The 19,099-nt window shown below is 48.2% G+C and overlaps 1 pseudogene, besides 2 other annotated features; it reads left to right on the top strand.

Moving 5' to 3' along the window:
- Positions 1,290-1,467: a silencer, noted in NCBI's record as "fragment chr1:226685292-226685469 (GRCh37/hg19 assembly coordinates)". NCBI's record gives its function as "represses an EF-1alpha promoter that drives an FKBP-Casp9 reporter gene in an ReSE screen in K562 erythroleukemia cells {active_cell/tissue: K562}" and the evidence as "EXISTENCE:reporter gene assay evidence [ECO:0000049][PMID:32094911]".
- On the top strand, positions 5,564-6,620 carry CDKN2AIPNLP1 (CDKN2A interacting protein N-terminal like pseudogene 1; annotated as a pseudogene).
- Positions 13,739-13,909: a silencer, noted in NCBI's record as "fragment chr1:226672850-226673020 (GRCh37/hg19 assembly coordinates)". NCBI's record gives its function as "represses an EF-1alpha promoter that drives an FKBP-Casp9 reporter gene in an ReSE screen in HepG2 liver carcinoma cells {active_cell/tissue: HepG2}" and the evidence as "EXISTENCE:reporter gene assay evidence [ECO:0000049][PMID:32094911]".

Here is a 19,099-nt window from a genome sequence, read left to right as displayed (position 1 = left end):
GTGCCTGGGGCTGAAATAAAGAAAAGGAGGGCTAAGTGATCTGGCCAATGTCCAGCTTTCCTCCTGGGGCAGAGGCAGCCTGCGGCTCGGCTGTGGTTCTCTGCCTGTGGTGTGAAGGGCTGGCTGCCATCCTCTGCTGTGAGCCTTAGGACCAGGCGCATGCCTTACACACCATTTCATCCTTGAAGTGCTCGGGCAGTAGGTGTGGGTGTCTGGGAGCTGCCTGTGGCATGACACCCACACTCACTGAACCACATCCAGCTTTCCCCTCCTGCCTCTCTTTGCTCTTCCCCCAACCCCCACTCAAACCCCCGCTGCCTGAACAATAAGGTCCTCTTCTTGGGGACAGAGGGATGGAGGGGTCACCATAACAACATCACACACCTCAGAAACCCTGGCACAGCCTGCTGAGAAAACGTCTTAGGGAAACCTTGGCATCCCATTGATGGAGGCACTCTCTTGAGCGTTCCAAAGCTGCAGATCAGAGCCAAGATGCTCTTGAGTGAGTTTTCTGGGCACTGCAATTAGGCCATGGTGAGGAGTGGGAGAGAGCCAGAGACACAGCTGGGGATGCCGGACTGGGGACAGTCCTCAATGACAGGCCAAGGAAATCAGCAAACCTCCAAAGACCCTGTAATTTCCACATTGAGCTGTTTCATTGCTTTGATAAGAAAGGACCAAAGCCTCTTCATGGTTTGCTGGGCAATTTGCAGATAAATGGGCGGCAGCCTCCAGAGCTGGAGCTGATCCTGCTCTCTATCCGGGTGAGCTTCTGCCCAGCGTTAATTGGGGGCTAATTAATGTCTCTAAGGAGAGGCTTTCAGGCTTTCATGTGGATTGAAGGATCACTCTGGCAGGCAGCTACAATGCCAGTGTTGGCCTGGCTCGGGCCTGTGATGAAATGAGTAGGCCCTTCATGACGCGGGCAGTTGCCACCAGAGCCGGGCCTTGGCTCAATGAGCAGAGAAAGTCAAATCACCCACCAGCCTGGAAAATGCACAACCTCTGGCCTCAGGAGTGCCCCTTGCAGCACCGATGCATGCGGGGCCCGCAGACTTGCCCCCCCAGGGTCAGTCTCCTCCTTGCCCTAGGCTGAGGCTGGCATTTCCTGGCAGACGAGCTCTCAGGGAAGTCATAGAATCTTGGAGTTTCCATCAGAGGCGGCCTAGGGAGCCCAGTCCTGTGTCTGAGCTCCTGCATCACACCTGTATTGCCCTGCATGGAAAATACAGGAAGAGCTTTGGAGAAAAGAGAGAGGCAACAATAGAGGAAGGCAATGGGAGGTGGGGAGGGAACCAGGGCAGCACCTCTGCTTTCTGGTCAGGTGGCAATGCCACACCATGCCTCCATGGGAGGCTCCAGGGCCGGCCCATTCTCCTCACCTTCTACCTTCTCAAGCAAGGCCAGCCAGGCCAGCACTACCCTTCCCTCCCACTCCCTGGGCAGAGAAAACTCTGTCAGGATACCTGAGTTCCTGCCTCCACTCTGGGTGAGTGACCTTGGGTGAGTCACATCCCTGCTCTGGGCTTGGTTCCCATCTCTGTTAAATGGTGGTGGGATCACTGGTTGCTCCCACATACTGACACCTCCGCACTGGCTTGAAGGATTTGCGTGGAGAAGGTAATGAATTCCTTCACAGAGCAGAGGGCTTAGCCCAAACATCTAGCAGTTCCCCTCCCCACTCCTGTGGGTACCATCAAGGATGACTGCCCATCAGGTTCCACCAAAACTCTTTAGCCTACATCAAGGTCCCCAAGCCCGCATCTCGCCAACCACTCCCTTGCCTGGTCCTCCAAATGCCCTGCTGGTCTGGTTCACTCTGCCCCACCTGCCCCATCCAAACCAACCCCCTGTTCCCTTCCTTACCCTTTACCTTGCACCGTTTCTCTTCAGAGCACATTTCACTGCAGATATTATCAAACCTGGTCATTTGCTTGTTGTCTGCCTCTCTCTCCCTGACAGCAGGAACAGGGTCTGCCTTGATCGCTGCTGCACACAGTAAGTGCTCAATAAATACTATTGAACAAGTGAATGCACTAGTGTGCTACCACCCTGTCTTTGCTCCCACAGCTCCCCTGCCTGCCCTCCCTTCTTCCCTTCCATCCATGCTCTTCACCCCTTCAGGTTCCACCTCCCTTGCCTCTGGAAGCTTCCCCGCCTCCCTGCTTGGAACACTCTTGCTCTGACACCTGCAGTGCCAGGGATTCAGCTGGCCTCCTGTGCATCGTGGTGGGAGCAGAGTGCCGGGGACACAGGCATGCTCAGAATGTCAGCCCTGGGGCCAAAGGTTGGGACACACAAAGAAAACCAAATCCCACACACATAATTGGCATGGAGGAAAAAATCTGCTCTTTCTCAAAGCCTCCAGCCCACAGAACTCCATTTGTCCCTTCCGGGTACCACAGATGCTTAGTGACAGCCAAGATCTGTCTTGCAGAAGCAGGAACCAGAGAGTATTTCTGGCCCAATTAAGCTTGAGTGCTTGACAAGTAGGAAATGCAGCCTCACCTCTTTGTGTTGCTAATGTGAGAAACATATGGGCTCTGTGCATCTGCACTGTCTTGCTCGCCTTCCTGCAGGTGCGTCACACCAAGGGCACGGCAAATGTGCAGGTACAGGGAACAGTACTGGGCAGGATGAGGGGTGTCTCTAAAGCGATGTGGCCGACTATCATGTTGACTTGTGGCATCGGTCTCGGGCAGTATATATGCGTATTGTTTTGCAAATGATCAATATTAGAAAATCAATCAATTATCTCCATTTCAAAAGCGTGAGGACTCTTCTCTTCACCATTCCTATTCATAGCATTGGGTTTATAAGTGCAAACAATGATGCCAGTAATAAGGTTTCTATTCCTTCTTCTTCCAGGCTTGGCAGATCGTATGCTGTCAGTTTTAGCTGGGAGACCAGATTTGAGACATGATCTCTGATTCAACACAAGATAGGTAGTTTGATGGAAACTCAGATTAGCTGGATAGTCTATTAAGCTACATATATTTGAAGAACTCTTAAATAAAGCATATCTACTCTAACATAGGTGGCCCATTTGAAACAAGCCCTGTTCAGTGCAGTAAATGTCTGACTCACCTTGAGAAAGAAACTACAAGTAAGCACCTGGCGCCCAGGGCCCAGAGAGACTGCCCTCCCATCCTCCCTGTCTGGACTGGATCCTGCCCCGCCCTGGTCACTGGGAGGCCTGTTCCAGGTCCTGGCTCAGGGAACCCTGCTGTCCCACCCCACACTGTTTGCTGCCTCTGTCCGAAAGGCCCCCTCCCTGTGCCAGCAGCACCTTGCCTTCGTGTGGACACAGGCCTGGTGTGGCACAGGCCCTCCTTTCTCTTGGGTTCTCTATGGAAATATAGGAAATGGGTCATTATAGTTAGGAGTGTCTGCATGTAAGACAGATGAGGTGTTGGTATGTGAGGGGGAGAAGGGGTGGTAATCTACAAATACCTTGTGCATTTATTTAAGCTCTAGGTAGCACTTAGCGTGTAGCTGGTGGTATTCATTTCCCAATCTGTGTCTAGCACAATGTGTGGCATAGGGTAAGTCCCAGGAGGAGCTGGGGCTGAATATGAGCATGGTCAGGTAGGTGAGGGAAAAAAAAAAACAACAGTCAGGTTGGGCCATCAGAGTCAAACTAATTACAATATTATTAGTTACCATTAATTAAGGGCATCCTTTAGGCCAGGTGTTTTACAGACTTTGAACAGCTGAACCCTTATAGGCCCCCAGTGAAAGAAGCATTATCAGCGCCACATTTCAGATGGGAAAACCAAGGCTCAGAGGGGTTCAGCAGCATTCCCAAGGTCACGCAGCTTGTGACACAGCCAGTTGTCAAACTCAGAATAGTCTGACCCCAGCACCTGAGTTCTTGACCATCGTATACTTCTCTTCCTTCCCTTCCCTTCCCCTCCACTTAGAAAGAGCACATAGGGGCTGGGCGCCGTGGCTCACGCCTGTAATCCCAGCACTTTGGGAGGCTGAGGCAGGCAAATCATGAAGTCAGGAGTTCGAGACCAACCTGGCCAACATGGCAAAACCCCGTCTCTACTAAAAATACAAAAATTAGCCGGGCGTGGTGGTGCATGCCTGTAATTCCAGCTACTTAGGAAGCTAAGCCAGGAGAATCACTTGAATCTGGGAGGCGGAGGTTGCAGTGAACCGGAATCGTGCCATTGCACTCCAGCCTGGGCAATAGAGTGAGACTATGTCTCAAAAAAAGAAAAAAAAAGAAAAGAAAGAAATGAAAAGAAAGAGCAAATTCGGGGGGGTTCTCTCTGCTTTGGAGCCCCCCTCCCTCTGTCTGTGTATGAGGGAGCTTCTATCTTCTGCCTTCTCCCATCTTTCTTGCCTATTAAACTCTCCACTCCTTAAAACCACTCCATGTGTGTCCGTGTCGTTTTTTCCAATTCAATGTGAGACAAGAGGCCTGGTGTTCCTCCACTCATCGGAGCGGTATGATTTTGGTGCATTGGCTGGGAAAGGAAATTCAGTCATCAGACTGGTGAATATGGAGCAGATTTCAACGTTAAATCTCTCCTTTAATCTCAAGGCTCTCTGCCAGCTACCCTGTCACCAAACTTTCTTTCTCTTTTTATCCACGGTCTCTTACTCTCTCTCTCTGTATGTCTAATGCGCAGGAATCTTTACAGTTCAGGGAAATAGGTCTGTTAGAAAAGATCGCGAATCACAGCAGGCAGTAACTCAATAACTCTCTCTACGGTTTCTCTGGCAAGCACATGGTATTTTTAAGCCACCTAGTGCTTAAATCAGGATCTAGGCCTCTTCTGAGAACGGGAAGTTTCTGCTTTTAACAGTTAGGAGTAAAATGTGTTTGGCAGCCAGATTTTAGTCCCCGTATTGTCCCATCAGTGGGAAAACGGCCATTTGATTCCTACGTTCTTTTAAGGCATCTATTTTGTCTCCGATTAAGAGAGTACTTAATTAGTAAGGGAATTTTAAGTTCGGAAGTTAACCAGAACTGTTTTAAGAGTAAGTGCTTTAGCACGGGCTATAATAGCAGGCAATCTAGCACACTGCCTCCGTTAAAAGAGCCTTGCCCAAAGGCAACACAGTGTCTCCAGAGGGAGTCAGGCAAATCACGCAGGTTCTAGGAAGTCAAAGGGAAATCACACAAGGCGGATAAACTAAGGCTGCGTGGGACGCATGGTTAGCCCCATCACTTAGTTCATCCGGTTCCATGGCTTGGAGGACCACGCCTACAACCATGGCGGGGAGGGGTGGGGTGGGGGGCATATTTTAAAAAGTTCCGGAATCCAGAAACCAAGGAGGTAAGACATTTGGAAGACGCTTCCTGTCTTCTCCTCTACTCTGGGTCATATGGAAAGGAAGGGGAGTAAGAGGATGGTTTTATTCTCGCTTCTTTTTCTAAATGGGTAATAAATTATCTTCATCTTGCACCCACCCCTCTGGAGTGCTGTAACTTCCTTAACCTCAGAACTTTAAAGAAAACAACTCATTTTATTTTGCACAAGAGCATGGCATTTCTACTAAACCTCTGCAAGCGTTGTGAGATCAACCCAGCTCTTTTAGCAACCACTTCGGGCAGGCAGGCAGCCGAGTTCGCGGAGCAGTTTCGCTCCTACTTACTGAGTGAGAAGCAATGGAAGGCCCTCATGGAATTCATCCTGCGCCACCTGCCCGACTACCATGACCTGCCCAATGGCGGTGGCTGCCTGGACCAACTGCTGTCCCTCTCCATGGTCTGGGCCAACCACCTCTTCCTGGGCTGCAGTTACAATAAAGCCCTTTTAGACAAGGTGATGGAAATGGCTGATGGGAATGAAGTGGAGGACCTGCCACAATTTACTACCAGAAGTGAATTAATGAAAAAGCATCAAAGCTAAGCCAGAGGATTTATCACATTTTCATCATCAGCTACAGGATTAGAAAGGAGGCTGGGATGAATGTGACATAGACCACAGCAGCTCTCTTAAGACTCCTGGTATTACCAACATAAAGAGGCAGGTGGAATGAGAAGGACTCTGTCTAGATTGGCTTTTTTAACATTCTCATTTTTCCAGTAGTTATCACTGTAAAAGTATACATGGATATTTGTGTATTTATAAATCATGCACTCTAAGATGACATCATCAACATTGTAAAAGCCCTCTTTGCTATTTTCAGTACTGACAAGTCTCACTCTGTCACCCAGGAGAGAGTACAAATGTGTAGTATTGGCTCATTGCAGCCTTGAACTCCTGGGCTCATATTTTCAGTTTTTAAATATCAGAATTTTTGTTTAAAATGCCTTTTTGGGCTGGGCGCAGTGGCTTACACCTGTAATAATCCCAGCACTTCAGGAGGCCAAAGTGGGTAGATCACCCAAGTTCGGGAGTTCAAGACCAGCCTGGCCAGCATGGTGAAATCCTGTCTCTACTAAAAACACAGAAAAGATTAGCTGGGCATGGTGACAAACATCTGTGGTCCCAGCTGCTCAGGAGGCCGGGGTAGGAAAATCACTTGAACCTGGGAGGCGGAGGTTGCAGTGAGCCGAAATCGCTCCATTGCACTCCATCCTGGGTGACAAAAGTGAAGCACCGTCTCAAAAAAATAAAAATTTAAATTTAAATTAAAAAAAAAGAATCATTTTTCTTTGTCAACAGGACACAATTGGAAAAACTGGCTATTTTACCAAGGCTTTGACTGAAAGTGTGTGTTTCCCTTTAAGGAACAAAGCTTGACATGCAGAGCCAATAAAAGCCCCTTGGGGAGAACTGGCCTCATACCTTATCTACGCAGTCCCCACACAGGGTTCCTAACCTGTGGTCAGTGAAGAATGTCACTTTCTAACAGGTCTGGAAGCTGCGAGTTTATCTTGGAACCTCAAGAGGAGAGGATCACCCAACTCACAGAAGCAATCAAACTCCAAATAGTGCTGCAAACTGAACCACACATGGACACGCCATTCTTCTGGGGACCCTTAGATCCACCCCAGGAGAAGCCCTAGCTGCTGTTCCCCATTCAACACCCCTTTTCAGCAGGAAGTAGCCAGAAAGAGTCATCATCCAAAACCCTGTAACAGCAGTTAGTGTGATATCGCCACAGGGAGGAATGTGGTAGGAGTTATTAAGAAATTATTTTAAGCAGATAGAGAGAAAGGAGTCCTTGGGAAGTTTTCATTTTTAAAAGCATCTGCGGAAAAGTTTCTTGTAAAGCCGCAGCTCTGAGAGCCAGGCCGGCAACCTTTGATATACAAATGAAGTCCATTAGAAACTGAGTCTACCCAACATGGCGATTCCCTCGGCCTTCTTGCCCTTGCCCCACATGTTCCTGGCAACATGGCCACCCCCACATAGCCCCACGTGTGTAGAATATCTTGGTGCCCTGCATTTGCATATTAAAAGGCTAGGGTGGGAGGGCCAGCTTTTTTGCAGGCTACGTGAATGATATGCCTGGTCAAACCAATCCCCTGGGCCCTATGCAAATCAGACACCACCTCCTCCAGCCTCTATATATACACTGCCTCCTCCAGCCTCTATATATACACACCTGGCTGGTTTCTGCCCCACTTGGGGTTTCCTCTCTTGGCTTTGGAGCCCCCCTCCCTCTGTCTCTGTATGGGGGAGCTTCTATCTTCTGCCTTTCCCCATCTTTCTTGCCTATTAAACTCTCTGCTCCTTATAACCAAAAAAAAAAAAAAAAGAAAGAAAGAAAGAGCAAATAGGGACAGGAATCTGAGGTCAGCAACCTGACAAGCCCCTGGGGAAGCCTCAAGAGGATGCAGTTCCAATGAGAAAGCAGCTCTAGAAATGAGACCTGTTTTTCTACCCAACAAATGCTCAGCAGAACCAACCAGGACTGCCAATCAGCTGGTGTGCACCTGTACAGCTGACCTGTGGATAAAATGTTGAAGTATATTCCCACAAGTTAGCAAGTAGCTGCTACCCTGACATCTCCCCTCCTAGGCCCCATCAACCTGACCACTCAGGACCCTCCAGTGGAATCCAGGAGCTTCCCCAGTCCCACATTCAAGGGTTAACACCTGGCCCTGCAAGGGGCTCTAGGACCCTGTTCCAGGGAGATGGCCCAGAGCTTGGTCCATTCCCAGGCACACCAGTTTCTCATTGTTTTGAAATTCCCTTTGGGTCCAGCCCTCTCATGGAAACTTCTGGTCTGAAAGCAGCTCCTGGGACCCTGGATGAGGCAGTCCTCCTTAAGCAGACCCCAGAGGAAAGTTGCATCTGGGCTAGGCTGTGGGGTCAGGCTGTACAGGCACAGAAGGAGTGGTCCCCAAAGCAAGGGGTTCACTGGGGCAGCCTTCTCTCTTTCAGTGATTCCTGTAACCAGGCCAGGCAACACCACTCGTGCCTACAGCAAGTTATGGTACTCTGGTGAGCCAGACTGGCTGGAAGAATGGTCCAGGGGAGAGTTCTACAGTGGCTGGAAGGGATCAGAAGACAAAAAGTCAGAAGTCAAAGCTGTCTGTGGCATGGAGAGAGGGAAGTGAGCCTCAAAGGCAGAAGCTAGGAGAGTAAGAACAATCTGGCTTTTGGGAGGTGGGTCAGAGCCTGTGATTCCAGTTTAAAGATGTGAATACTGTAAGGGTGCCTGGTACACAGCCAGCAGCCCCTAAGACACAGGTGGGTGGAGGCCTAGGACCCGGCACACTCTGTAAAGCTACAAGGAGAGTAGCTGTGTCTGAGGAAAAGGGCAAATCTTTGCTATCAGCAAGGACAGCACAGGTCTCTCCTCCCACCCACAAAGCCCCCAGCTTACACCAAATATGTCTCCTATGCCCACATTCTGAGTCAAAATGCGATCAGATTTTATGTAGCAGACCTCATAAAAAGGACAAAGCCCTGTAGACTCTGCTCTGCTCAGCTCCACCCTCCCAGGCCTGCTGTTTGCTTCCCAGCCTCATATTGCATTAGTGCGCGGTTCAATGGATTTTTTATTACAGTTGGAATTAAATAACTCAAAGATGGATCCAGTGGGTTGAGGGAAAACAGAAGTTTAATCAAAGGAAGTAACAGAGCCGATCTGGTTCCAGAATTGCAGGATGTAGTGAAGCTCCCAGCAGGGCCTGGTGATGATGTCCCTCTCATGTTTTCTCTTTGCGCTTTTCTCCCCACAAGGCTTGTGCCCACGAGGGGGCTTCAGGTGACTCACCCCTCTGTGTGGGCAGCTCACAGGTAGCAGAGGCAGTGGGCTGAGTCACAGCCGAGTCTCCGGGCCACCACAAAACTCAGGGAAGATCAAACCCAGAATTTCCGTCCCTATCATTGAAGCATAGCTGAAGGGGATTGCCCTTTTTTGCTTTTTGGTTTTTTTCTCTTGTCCTGAGGTTCTAAGGGCAAGCAGCTGACCCTCCTAAAAGAGATTCTAAATTATGGCCTGGGATCCTGCAGTGTTGAGTGTGGCCAAGATTTGTGTGGCAACAGGAAGGGGTCTATGAGGAGGGAGAGATAAGATGTGAGAACTTGGGACCCAGCTAGGCATGGCCCCGTACCTGTGGGCGGCTGGAAGTGGCAAGACCTGGATAGGATCTACCTGGGTGTGCAGGGGCAAGGCTCAGGCCCACACCAGGGGGAGGCCCGGAGAAGCATGCTCCGTGGGCCATCAGAAGACCCCGCCCAGGTTCCAGCCTTACCATGCACCCTTCTTCCTCTCATTGATTGTGCTCAAACTCTCAGGTTTTCTGCCACCCACCTTCCTGCCTCAGAAGCTTGCCCATTCCATTACCTCTCCTGAGAACACTCTCCCCTTCCACCTAGAGCCTCTGCTCTTCCTTCAGACCTCAACTTTCACATCGTTTCCTCCGAGAAGCCTTCCCTGACCCCCTCAGACCTGCCCAGGTTCCCCTATAAAACACTCTCACCATACAAAGCAGCCTTGCTATGCTCTGGTTACCACTTCAGCCCACCACGTTTTGGGCCGCAATTTCTACCACTTGCACGAGTCAAGTGAAATAGACCACTCACACAGCAAGTTAAATAAAGCAACTTTATCACTCACAGGCAGCAAGGGACAGTAGGAACCTAGGATTTGTGGTGAACCAGTCCCCTGAGGCTCAGGAAAGTTGCCCGGGGTGGATGGAATCTTGTCTACAAGTCCCCACTTGCACCACAGCTAAGGGACCTCAGAAAGCAGACCACCTGGATTTAAACTCCACCAGCAACCTGATTTGCTGGGTTAAAGTTTTGTAGGGCATCCTGTTCTAGGAAGGACAGGAACAGATCCCGGGCTGTTCTGGCCAGTTCTTCCTTATCTCAGGATGTTGCATTCCCAGCACTTTCTACAGTTATTCTCGAGAAATACAAGCAAGAAAGGAAGAGGAACTGGTTCTGGCCAAGGCTACCTGAAGAGTGGTCATGCACACAGCCCTCAGGATTTTCATGGCACTGACCACCATACAGCATAATGTTTAATATAGTTCTACACTGTGGTCTATAAGCTCCCCAGGGGCTGGGACCACCTTGTCTTATTCTCTACTATATCACCAGTGCCCACAGAAGTTCCTGGTATGTAGAAAAGACTCAGCTACATTAATAAATGAAGGGTTTAAGTTAAAATACTGGTGTTAGAAAGGCCCCAAGAGAAGGACAGAGCCAGATGCCAGGGAGTCCAGGGCAGGCAGGGCTTCCAGGGGGCAGCAGGACTCCATTCCCAAGGGAGTAGGACCTGCCAGGAACAAGGAAGGAACAAATCGCAGAGGCCTCCCAGCCTAGGCCACTCACCCTGGTGGGACTCAGGTCCCAAGAACAAGACAGGAGTCCAGTGCTCCAAAATGGGACTCTGCTGGAGGAGGGTTTGAGTCTTGGAAACAAGGTGAAGCCCACATGTCAGAAGTGGGGCCCCAGATTAGGACTGATTGCCACCAATAATGGCTCGATACTGAGTTACAGAATGTTGGGACAGGTCTACTTAAATTCTTTCAGCCTGAGGTCAATAGTTGGCAAAGGGGCACAGGGCAGGGCCGAGTAGGGCTGAGTCAACACAGGAAGGCAAGGGAGAAGAGAAAATGCAGTCAGTGGCCCCAAGTGGGGAAAAGGGGGAATAAAGAGCTGGGGACTGGAAGTCCCAGCCAGAGCAATTAGGCAAGAGAAAGAAATAAAGGGGATTCATATCAGAGAGGAAGAAGTAAAATTATTCTTGTTCACAGGTGATATGATCTTTTATTTAGAAAAACCTAAAGACTCCACCAAAAAACCTTCAGAGTGCATCAACAAATTCAGTATGGGATACAAGTCAACATATTAAATCAGTAGCATTTATATATGCCAACAGCAAACAGTCTGGAAAAAAGTCAAGATGTAACCCCATTTACAAAAGCTACAACAAATATAAAATACATAGAACTCTCTCTATATATATACATATTTTTTGAGGCAGAGTCTCACTCCGTCACTCAGGGTGGAGTGCAGTGGTGCGATCTCAGCCCACTGCAACCTCTGCCTCCCAGGTTCAAGCAATTCTCGTGCCTCAGCCTCCCAAGTAGCTGGGATTACAGGTGTTAGCCACCACACCTGGCTAATTTTTGTATTTTTAGTCGAGACAGGGTTTTGCCATGTTGGCCAGGCTGGTCTCCAACTCCTGGCCTCAAGTGATCCGCTGACCTTGGCCTCTCAAAGTGCTGGGATTACAGGCGTGAGCCACCACACCTGGCTCATAGAAATAAATTTAACCAAAGAAGTGAGAGGTCTCTATAAGGAAAATGACAGAACACTGATGAAAGAAATTGAAAAGGACACAAAAAAAGAGAAAGAGATTCCATGATCATGAAGTGGAAGAATTAATATTGTTAAATGTCAATACCCAAAGTGATCTACAGATTCAATGCAATCCCAATCAAAATACCAATGCTATTCTTCATGGAAATAGAAAAAACAATTCCAAAATAAGCACAGAAACACAAATACCCCCTAATAGCCTGAGCAATCCTGAGCAAAAAGAACAAAGCTGGCGGCATCATATTGCCTGACCTCAAAATATGCTACAAAGATATAGTAACAAAAACAGCCTAATCCCGGCATAAAAACAGACATGAATGGAATAGAATAGAATAGAGAAAATAGAAATAAATCCATGCATTTACAGCCAACTCATTTTTGACAAAAGCATCAAGAATATACATTAAGGAAATAACAGTCTCTTTAATAAATGGTGCTGGGAAAACTGAATATCCATATGCAGAATAATAAAACTAAACCCCTATCTCTCACCATATACAAAAATCAAATCAAAATCGATTAAAGACGTAAATTTAAGACCTGAAGCTATAAAACTACTAGAAGAAAACTTTGGGGAAACACTTCAGGACACTGGTCTGGGCAAAGATATTTTGGGTAAGACTTCAAAAAGCACAGGCAAGGAAAGCAAAAATAGACAAATGAGATGATATCAAACTAAAAAGCTTCTGCACAGCAAGGGAAACAATCAACAAAGTGAAGAGACAAACTACAGAATGGGAGAAAATATTTGCAAACTATCCATCCAACAAGAGATTAATAACCAGAAAATATAAGGAACTCAAACAACTTAACAGCAAAAAACCACAAATAATCTGATTTTTAAATGTGCAAAAGATCTGAATAGACATTTCTTGAAACATACAAATGAACCACAAGTACATGAAAGAATGCTCAACATCACTAATGATCAGAGAAATGTAAATCAAAACCACAATGAGATATCATCTCACCCCAGTTAAAATGGCTTTTATCTAAAAGACAAAAAACAACAGATGCTGGCAGGGATGCAGAGAAAGGGGAAGTCTTACACACTGTCGGTAGGAATGTTAAATTGGTACAGACACTGTGGAAAACAGCATGGAGGTTCCTCAAAAAACTGAAAATAGAACTACCATATGATCCAGCAATCCTACTGCTGGGTATAAATTCAAAAGAAAGGAAATTAATATATCAAAAAGATAACTGCATCCTCATGTTTTTGCCAGCACTATTCACAATAGCCAGGACACGGAATCAACCTAAGTGTCCATCAACAGATGAATGGATAAAGACAATGTGGTACCTATTCACAATGGCATATTTTTCGGCCATAAAAAAGAGTGAAATTCTGTCATTGGCAGCAACATGAATGGAACCGGAGGTCATTATGTTAAGTAAAATAAACCAGGTACAGAAAGACGGGTATCACATGTTCTCACTCATGTGGGAGCTAAAAACGTGGATCTCGTGGAGATAGAGAGTAGACTGGTGGTTACCAGAGGCTGGGAAGGGTAGGGGGAAGGTGGGGTTGAAGAGAAGTTGATTAAAGGGCACAAAGATACAGTTAGATCAAATGAATAAGATCTAGTGTTTGATAGTACAGGAGGGTGGCTATAATTAATAATAATTTATTATCTTCTTCAAAATAGCTAGAAGAAAATCATTCAAATGTTCCTAACAAAGAAAAGTTAAAATTTTGAAGCAATGGCTATCCCAGTTACCCTGATTTGCTCACCACACATTGTATGCATGTAGCGAAAGTCCCGCTAGTATGGGCTTCCCGCCCCACAGATTGAATCCCAGGTTCCACCCTACAACAGGAGAGGCCAGGCTCCTCCCTCTGCAAATAGCGGAACTTCCCGAGGCTCCATCACAGTGTGCACTCCTCCCAGTGCACAGGCCAGTTGGAGGTTCTCCAGTGACACCTTTCTACTTGGCTGCCTCACATTCACTCATTTATTCAACAGATAACCACCAAACACACACCCTGTGCCAGGCACAGCTCAGGCACCAGCTAAGGGACAGCAGCAAGGAGCACGGAGCTCAGTCCTAAGCTGGCCGGCTTCCTCACAGGCTTCCTGCCCAGAGGCAGGGCAGGTTTTAGAGGGCCAGCAGATTGGCCACTGAGAGGCAGCCATAGGTATACCAGGGATCAGGCAGTGGCTGATGGAGTTTGAGCACCCCTTGCTTCTGGCTGCCCCTCCTGCATCTTCACAGCACACTCTGGCTTTCCCAAATTAAAACTAACCGTTTTTCTGCTTCCTACCCAACTCTACCCCCCTTGAACACATTCATTTAGCCTACAAAGTAGAGAAGATCTGAAACAAACAAATTTGAAATTTAGAGGATAACAATGGGACCTCTGTAACGAGGGATGTCAGCTTTAGTGAAAGGAATTAAACAGTTTGAATATTAGGATTCGTTTGGTTGACTGTGCCAGAAAACCCAGAGGCTTCAGCAAGGTAGGATTGTATTTGTCTCTCATGCAAACAGGCAGCCTGGAGCAGTATGGCCACCGCACCATCACCAGGGGCCCAGGCCCCTCCTCTCTTATTGCTCTGCCCTCCTCAACACATGGCTTCCACGGCTGCTTGAGCACCAGCCATCATATCCACATGCCAGGCAGCTAAAAGAACAAAGAGGCAGAAAAAGACACTTCCCTTTAAGGATACTTCCTAGAATTTGCCCAAACTACTGCAACTTACACCCCATCAACCAAAACTCAGTCACAACACAGCTAGCAAGGCTGGGAAATGCCATTATCTTGAATGCTCCTGCACCTGGCTGAAAATCAGAGTTCTATTACCAAAGAATAAGGGGAGACAGGGGCAGGGGTGACAAGCAGAACTGGGCTAGGACGTGCTCTCCTTTGGGAACTCTTTTCCCCATGGTTCACTTTGCTCATTCCCCCTTGGACCTCATTTCTTCCCTCACTGAGGCTACATAGAGGATGGAGTCTGGGCTGCCTCTCTGCTGCCCTGGAAGGCTAAGCAAGGCTGGCAGGGCTGACAGCAGGAGGTCTGGGGGCAGTGGAGGCTACGGCCGTGGCTGAGGCTTTCACGCAAGGACATCTGGACCCATCAGGACCCCCCCTCCTAATCTTCATCCCTATGTGATTTCAGTAAGTCACTCAACCTCTGGGAGCCGTAGCTCCTCATCCGAAGAAAAGGGGATAAAAATTCCTACCTGGCCAGGCATGGTGGCTCACACCTGTAGTCCCAACAATTTGCAGAACCAAGGTGGAGGATCACTTGAGGCCAGGAGTTCGAGACCAGCCTGGGCAATATAGTGAGATCCCCTCTCTACCAAAACAAACAAACAAACAAAACAAAACAAACTCCTACTTCACAGGGTTGCTATGAGGATTAAGTGAGCTCAGTAAGTGGTAGCTATTTTCAAAGTGTGCCTTTGCCTGGGCTGTCTTTGGTGATCTCTATGTATCTATATCTGTATCTATGTCTACATGTATATCTATAACTACATCTACATCCACATTTCTGTATCTATATCTATATCTATGTCTATGTCTATATCTGTCTCTGTTTCTATACCTACATCTACATCCATATATCTATTTCTATTTCTACATCTATATCATCATCTCCCTATATAGCTTTTCCCTCTATCTGAATTTCCCTCACAGCCTGAGCAGACGTGGTTCCAGGCAACAGCTGGAGATAGATTTGAGTTTGGGGCTTTGGACATATTAACAGGACTGGCAGGACCAGCCTTCCCTGCACGATGTAGACACTTCATCACAGCTCACAGATGCCCAAGACCCAATTAACTCGGCAGACGCAAGAGAGCTCAGGACAGGCTTGCAAATTAAATCCTGTTACTGGCTCCAAAGAACTGAGGGCACTTCCCACATCCTCAGGCAGACACAGCACTTGTGCTTAGCTGCCTGTGACACACCAGGGTTCCAGGGTGAGCTGTGTCATCAGAGAAGTGGACCCCTCCCCCAGCTGATCCCAGGCCTTGTGCAATGTTAACGGCTGCTTTGGGTCTTTCTACAGGAGATCCTGAAACCAAGGTTTGGACCCTGCTCATATCTTGAAGGAACGTGAGTCACTTCTCGGGAGGCAGTAAAGTGGATCGAGAAGAGATTGTGTTTGGCTTCAGGCAGACACAGTTTGAATCCTGGCTCTGCCACTCTCGAGCTGTGTGATCCTGATCAACCTGCTCAACCTCTCTGAGCCCTGGTTCCTCATCTGTATAACAGGGGTGACAAGACCATCTCAGAGACCTGATGTGAGGACTCCATGAGGTTATGCCTGTAAAGTGCCTGCTCCACAAAACTCATTCCCTGAGTTCAACTCATCGACACCATCAGCGTCACCACCAAACAGATCAGGTTCCCAGCACAGGGTGGTGCATCTTCCTCCTGCCCACCCTGCCAGAGTTAGTGAGATGTCATAGTTGGTTCTCTCCCCAGCCTCCACCCTGTGAGATGCAAGTTTGCTCAAGTTCAGGTACTGGTGGAGGAGGAGGCTCCTCTGCAATCACCCGCCTCCATGTCCTTGTGTCCACCTGACATCAGCTCCAGGACGGTGCTCTGACCCGAGCTTGGGAATCAACCCTGTCCCAAGGCCCTCCCGGGGGCCTGCTTTTCCAACTTGCTGTTATTCCAGCTCAGATGCCAAGGCCCTTGCCTGTCCCTTTGTCCCTCTTTGCTCCTGTATCTCAGTCCCCAGAATTGTCCCCTGTATTACCACAATCTGTCTATGTATCCCTGCCTTGAGTCATCCCCTGGGAATGGGCATCCTCCCTTCCCCCAGACTCAGACCCCAGTCCTTGAGCTGAATCCCCCCACCAGAGGCTGGACTTCCGCGAGGCCAACTGCCTGTCAGCCCAGCCCGCCAGCCCCATCTGCTGCCATATGTGCCTGACCCAGTGCTCAGTGCCTGCTGTCTGCGCCTCTATCTCCATGACAGCTGCGTGTTTGAGGGCCACCAGCCCTGCCTCCCCAGCCTCTGCTGTCATCAGATGCCAGGATCCGTCATGTCACCTGCTCTGGGGGCAGCTTCTGTTGTCTGGTTCCTCCAGGCCAGACCAAGTCCAGGCAAAGACACTCATGAGCAGCCTCATCATCACTCTGGAAGTGGCCCTGACAGGCAAAGGCTGCTGGCTTCTGCTCATCACTGTCACAATGTCCCCAGGGTGGGAGAAGAGGTGGTGTTTTATTTCTTACAAGTTCTAACTTTCTGATATGAGACTCCAAAGACACAACACCATCAGGAGTGCCGGGAGGGCTCCAGGATTGGGACTGCAGCTGTCTTAACCCTTAAGAGCACAACCTCTGCTCAGAGCCATCAGGAGATGGGGGAGAAGCCTGGAGCAATAAGAAACACAGATTCCTACTAAACGTAACTACCTGTGTTTATCCTTTCTCCCAAAACCCCACTAAAATGAAAGCAAATGCATTTTTGACAGCATAAACCCAAAGACTAGGAGAATGTAAGAGGAGGCAATTATAGAGATTTCAGCAAAGTCTGGAAGACAGAAAGCAGAGGGAGGAGGAACATTAGCAGAGGAAGATATGAGCTAAAGTGCCTAGAAAGGGGGATCCAGATGAGCAGGAACTGATTTGCCCCACAGAAAGCCCAAGGAGGGGCTTGGAACTCAGAGGCAACAGGTACAGGGGGAAGTTAAGGTCAAGTGTAGGGCTGAGAAGAGGGGCTAAAGTGCAATTCTGTATGCTGAGCTAGACACCCCCCCGCCAGTTCCCTCCTTCACCCACACAGCTGGGCAGCTTGCATCTCTCTTCCCCATGCCCCAGACAAGAGCCCACGGCTTGCTCTGCAGTGAAGCAGATGAGAGAACTCCCAACTTCAGGACACCTGGCAAAGTGAGGCAGGGGGCGGGGGGAGGTTAGGTTCAGGACAGTAGTCTAAACATTTCACAGTGGATTCCAAAGTCCCGTGTTTTGCTCCTGCTGCCTGCAACCTTCCCCAGGGCAAGAGATTACAGGGTTCTTCTCTTGAGTAGGTGAACGCCCCAGAGAGCAAGATCTCTACCTACTAACATTTGGCAATTTCCAGTGTCAAAAGCCCCATGAGTTCTCATGCTCTGTGAAAGCATTCAGAGCTGCCGATCAGCTTTGAGGGCCTCTCTGAAATATGAACAGTCAAGGATCAACAAATATTTGAGGAAGGACTCCAACATGAAAAAGATCCAAACAAAGCCAGGAGTGGGGTGAGTGTCAAAGGATGTCAGAAGCAGTGCAAGGACCAGAAGAAAATTTCAAAAGGAACTCTAGTGAGAACTGTTCAGAGAAATAAAAGAAAGCTTTGCCCTTTACAGAAAAGGAAATAATCTGAGAACAAGAAAGAACTCTTGGACATTTAAAAAATCATAACCATTGAAATAAACATTCAATAAAAGGAAATCTGCCAGAAAAGAGAACTAAAAGACAAGGAGGAAAAAGAAAACAGATGAGAGGTATATTAGTTAGGATTCTCCAGAGATACCCAATAGGATAAAGAGAGAGAGAGAGAGAGAGACAGGAGAGGGGATTTATTAGAGGGATTGGCTCATGCAGTTACAGAGGCTGAGAAATCCCACTCAGGCCATCCGCAAGCTGGAGACCCTGGGATGTTGGTATCGTGGTTCAGTCCAAGTCCAAAGGCCTCAGAACCAGGGAGGCTGATGGTGCAACTCTCAGCCTGAGGCCAAAGGCCTGAGAACCAGGGTGAGGTGGGGGAGTGGAGGTGCTGGTTTAAGTCCTGGAGTCCAAAGGCCAGGGAGCCTGGAAGTGTTGTCCAAGGACAGAAGAGGAAGAGTGCATCCCAGCTCCAGAAGGCAGCTCCACACACTCACCTTCTGTCTGTTTTTGTTCTCTCTGACCCACAGCAGACTGAGTGGTGCCTACCCACATCAAGGGCAGATCTCCCACTTCGTCCACTCAGACTCCCAAGCTAATCTCTGGAAGCACCCTCACAGACACACCCCAAAATAATACCTTACCAGACTTCTAGGTATTCCATAATCCAGTCAAGTTGACACCTAAAATTAGCCATCACAGGAGGAAATAATTTTTAAATATGTATATAAAATAGTCCTAGAACAGAAATGAATTTCCAGATTGGAAATTGGGCCCATCACTACAAATTTTAAAAAGACCTACACCAATTTTGAAATTTCAGAACACCAAGGATGAAGAAAAGATCCAAAAAGCTTCTGGGGAGCTGAAATAGGGCACAAGAAGAAAACCAGGAATCAGAATGGCATTGGCTTTTCTAGAAGCCAGGAGTCTAGGGAACAATGCCTTCAACATTCTAAAGGGAGGGAACGTTATTTTCAACCTGAGATTCTACATTCAGCCACTATCAGTAAGTGCAAGGATAGAATAAAGATGTTTTTCAGATGTGCAGGGACTCACAACAAATCGACCAGCCTCCCAT

This window comes from Homo sapiens, chromosome 1, assembly GCF_000001405.40.
Source record: "Homo sapiens chromosome 1, GRCh38.p14 Primary Assembly".
Taxonomy (NCBI): domain Eukaryota; kingdom Metazoa; phylum Chordata; class Mammalia; order Primates; family Hominidae; genus Homo; species Homo sapiens.
The sequence above is the reverse complement of the archived record's forward strand: the minus strand, read 5'-3'. Positions and strand labels throughout refer to the sequence as shown.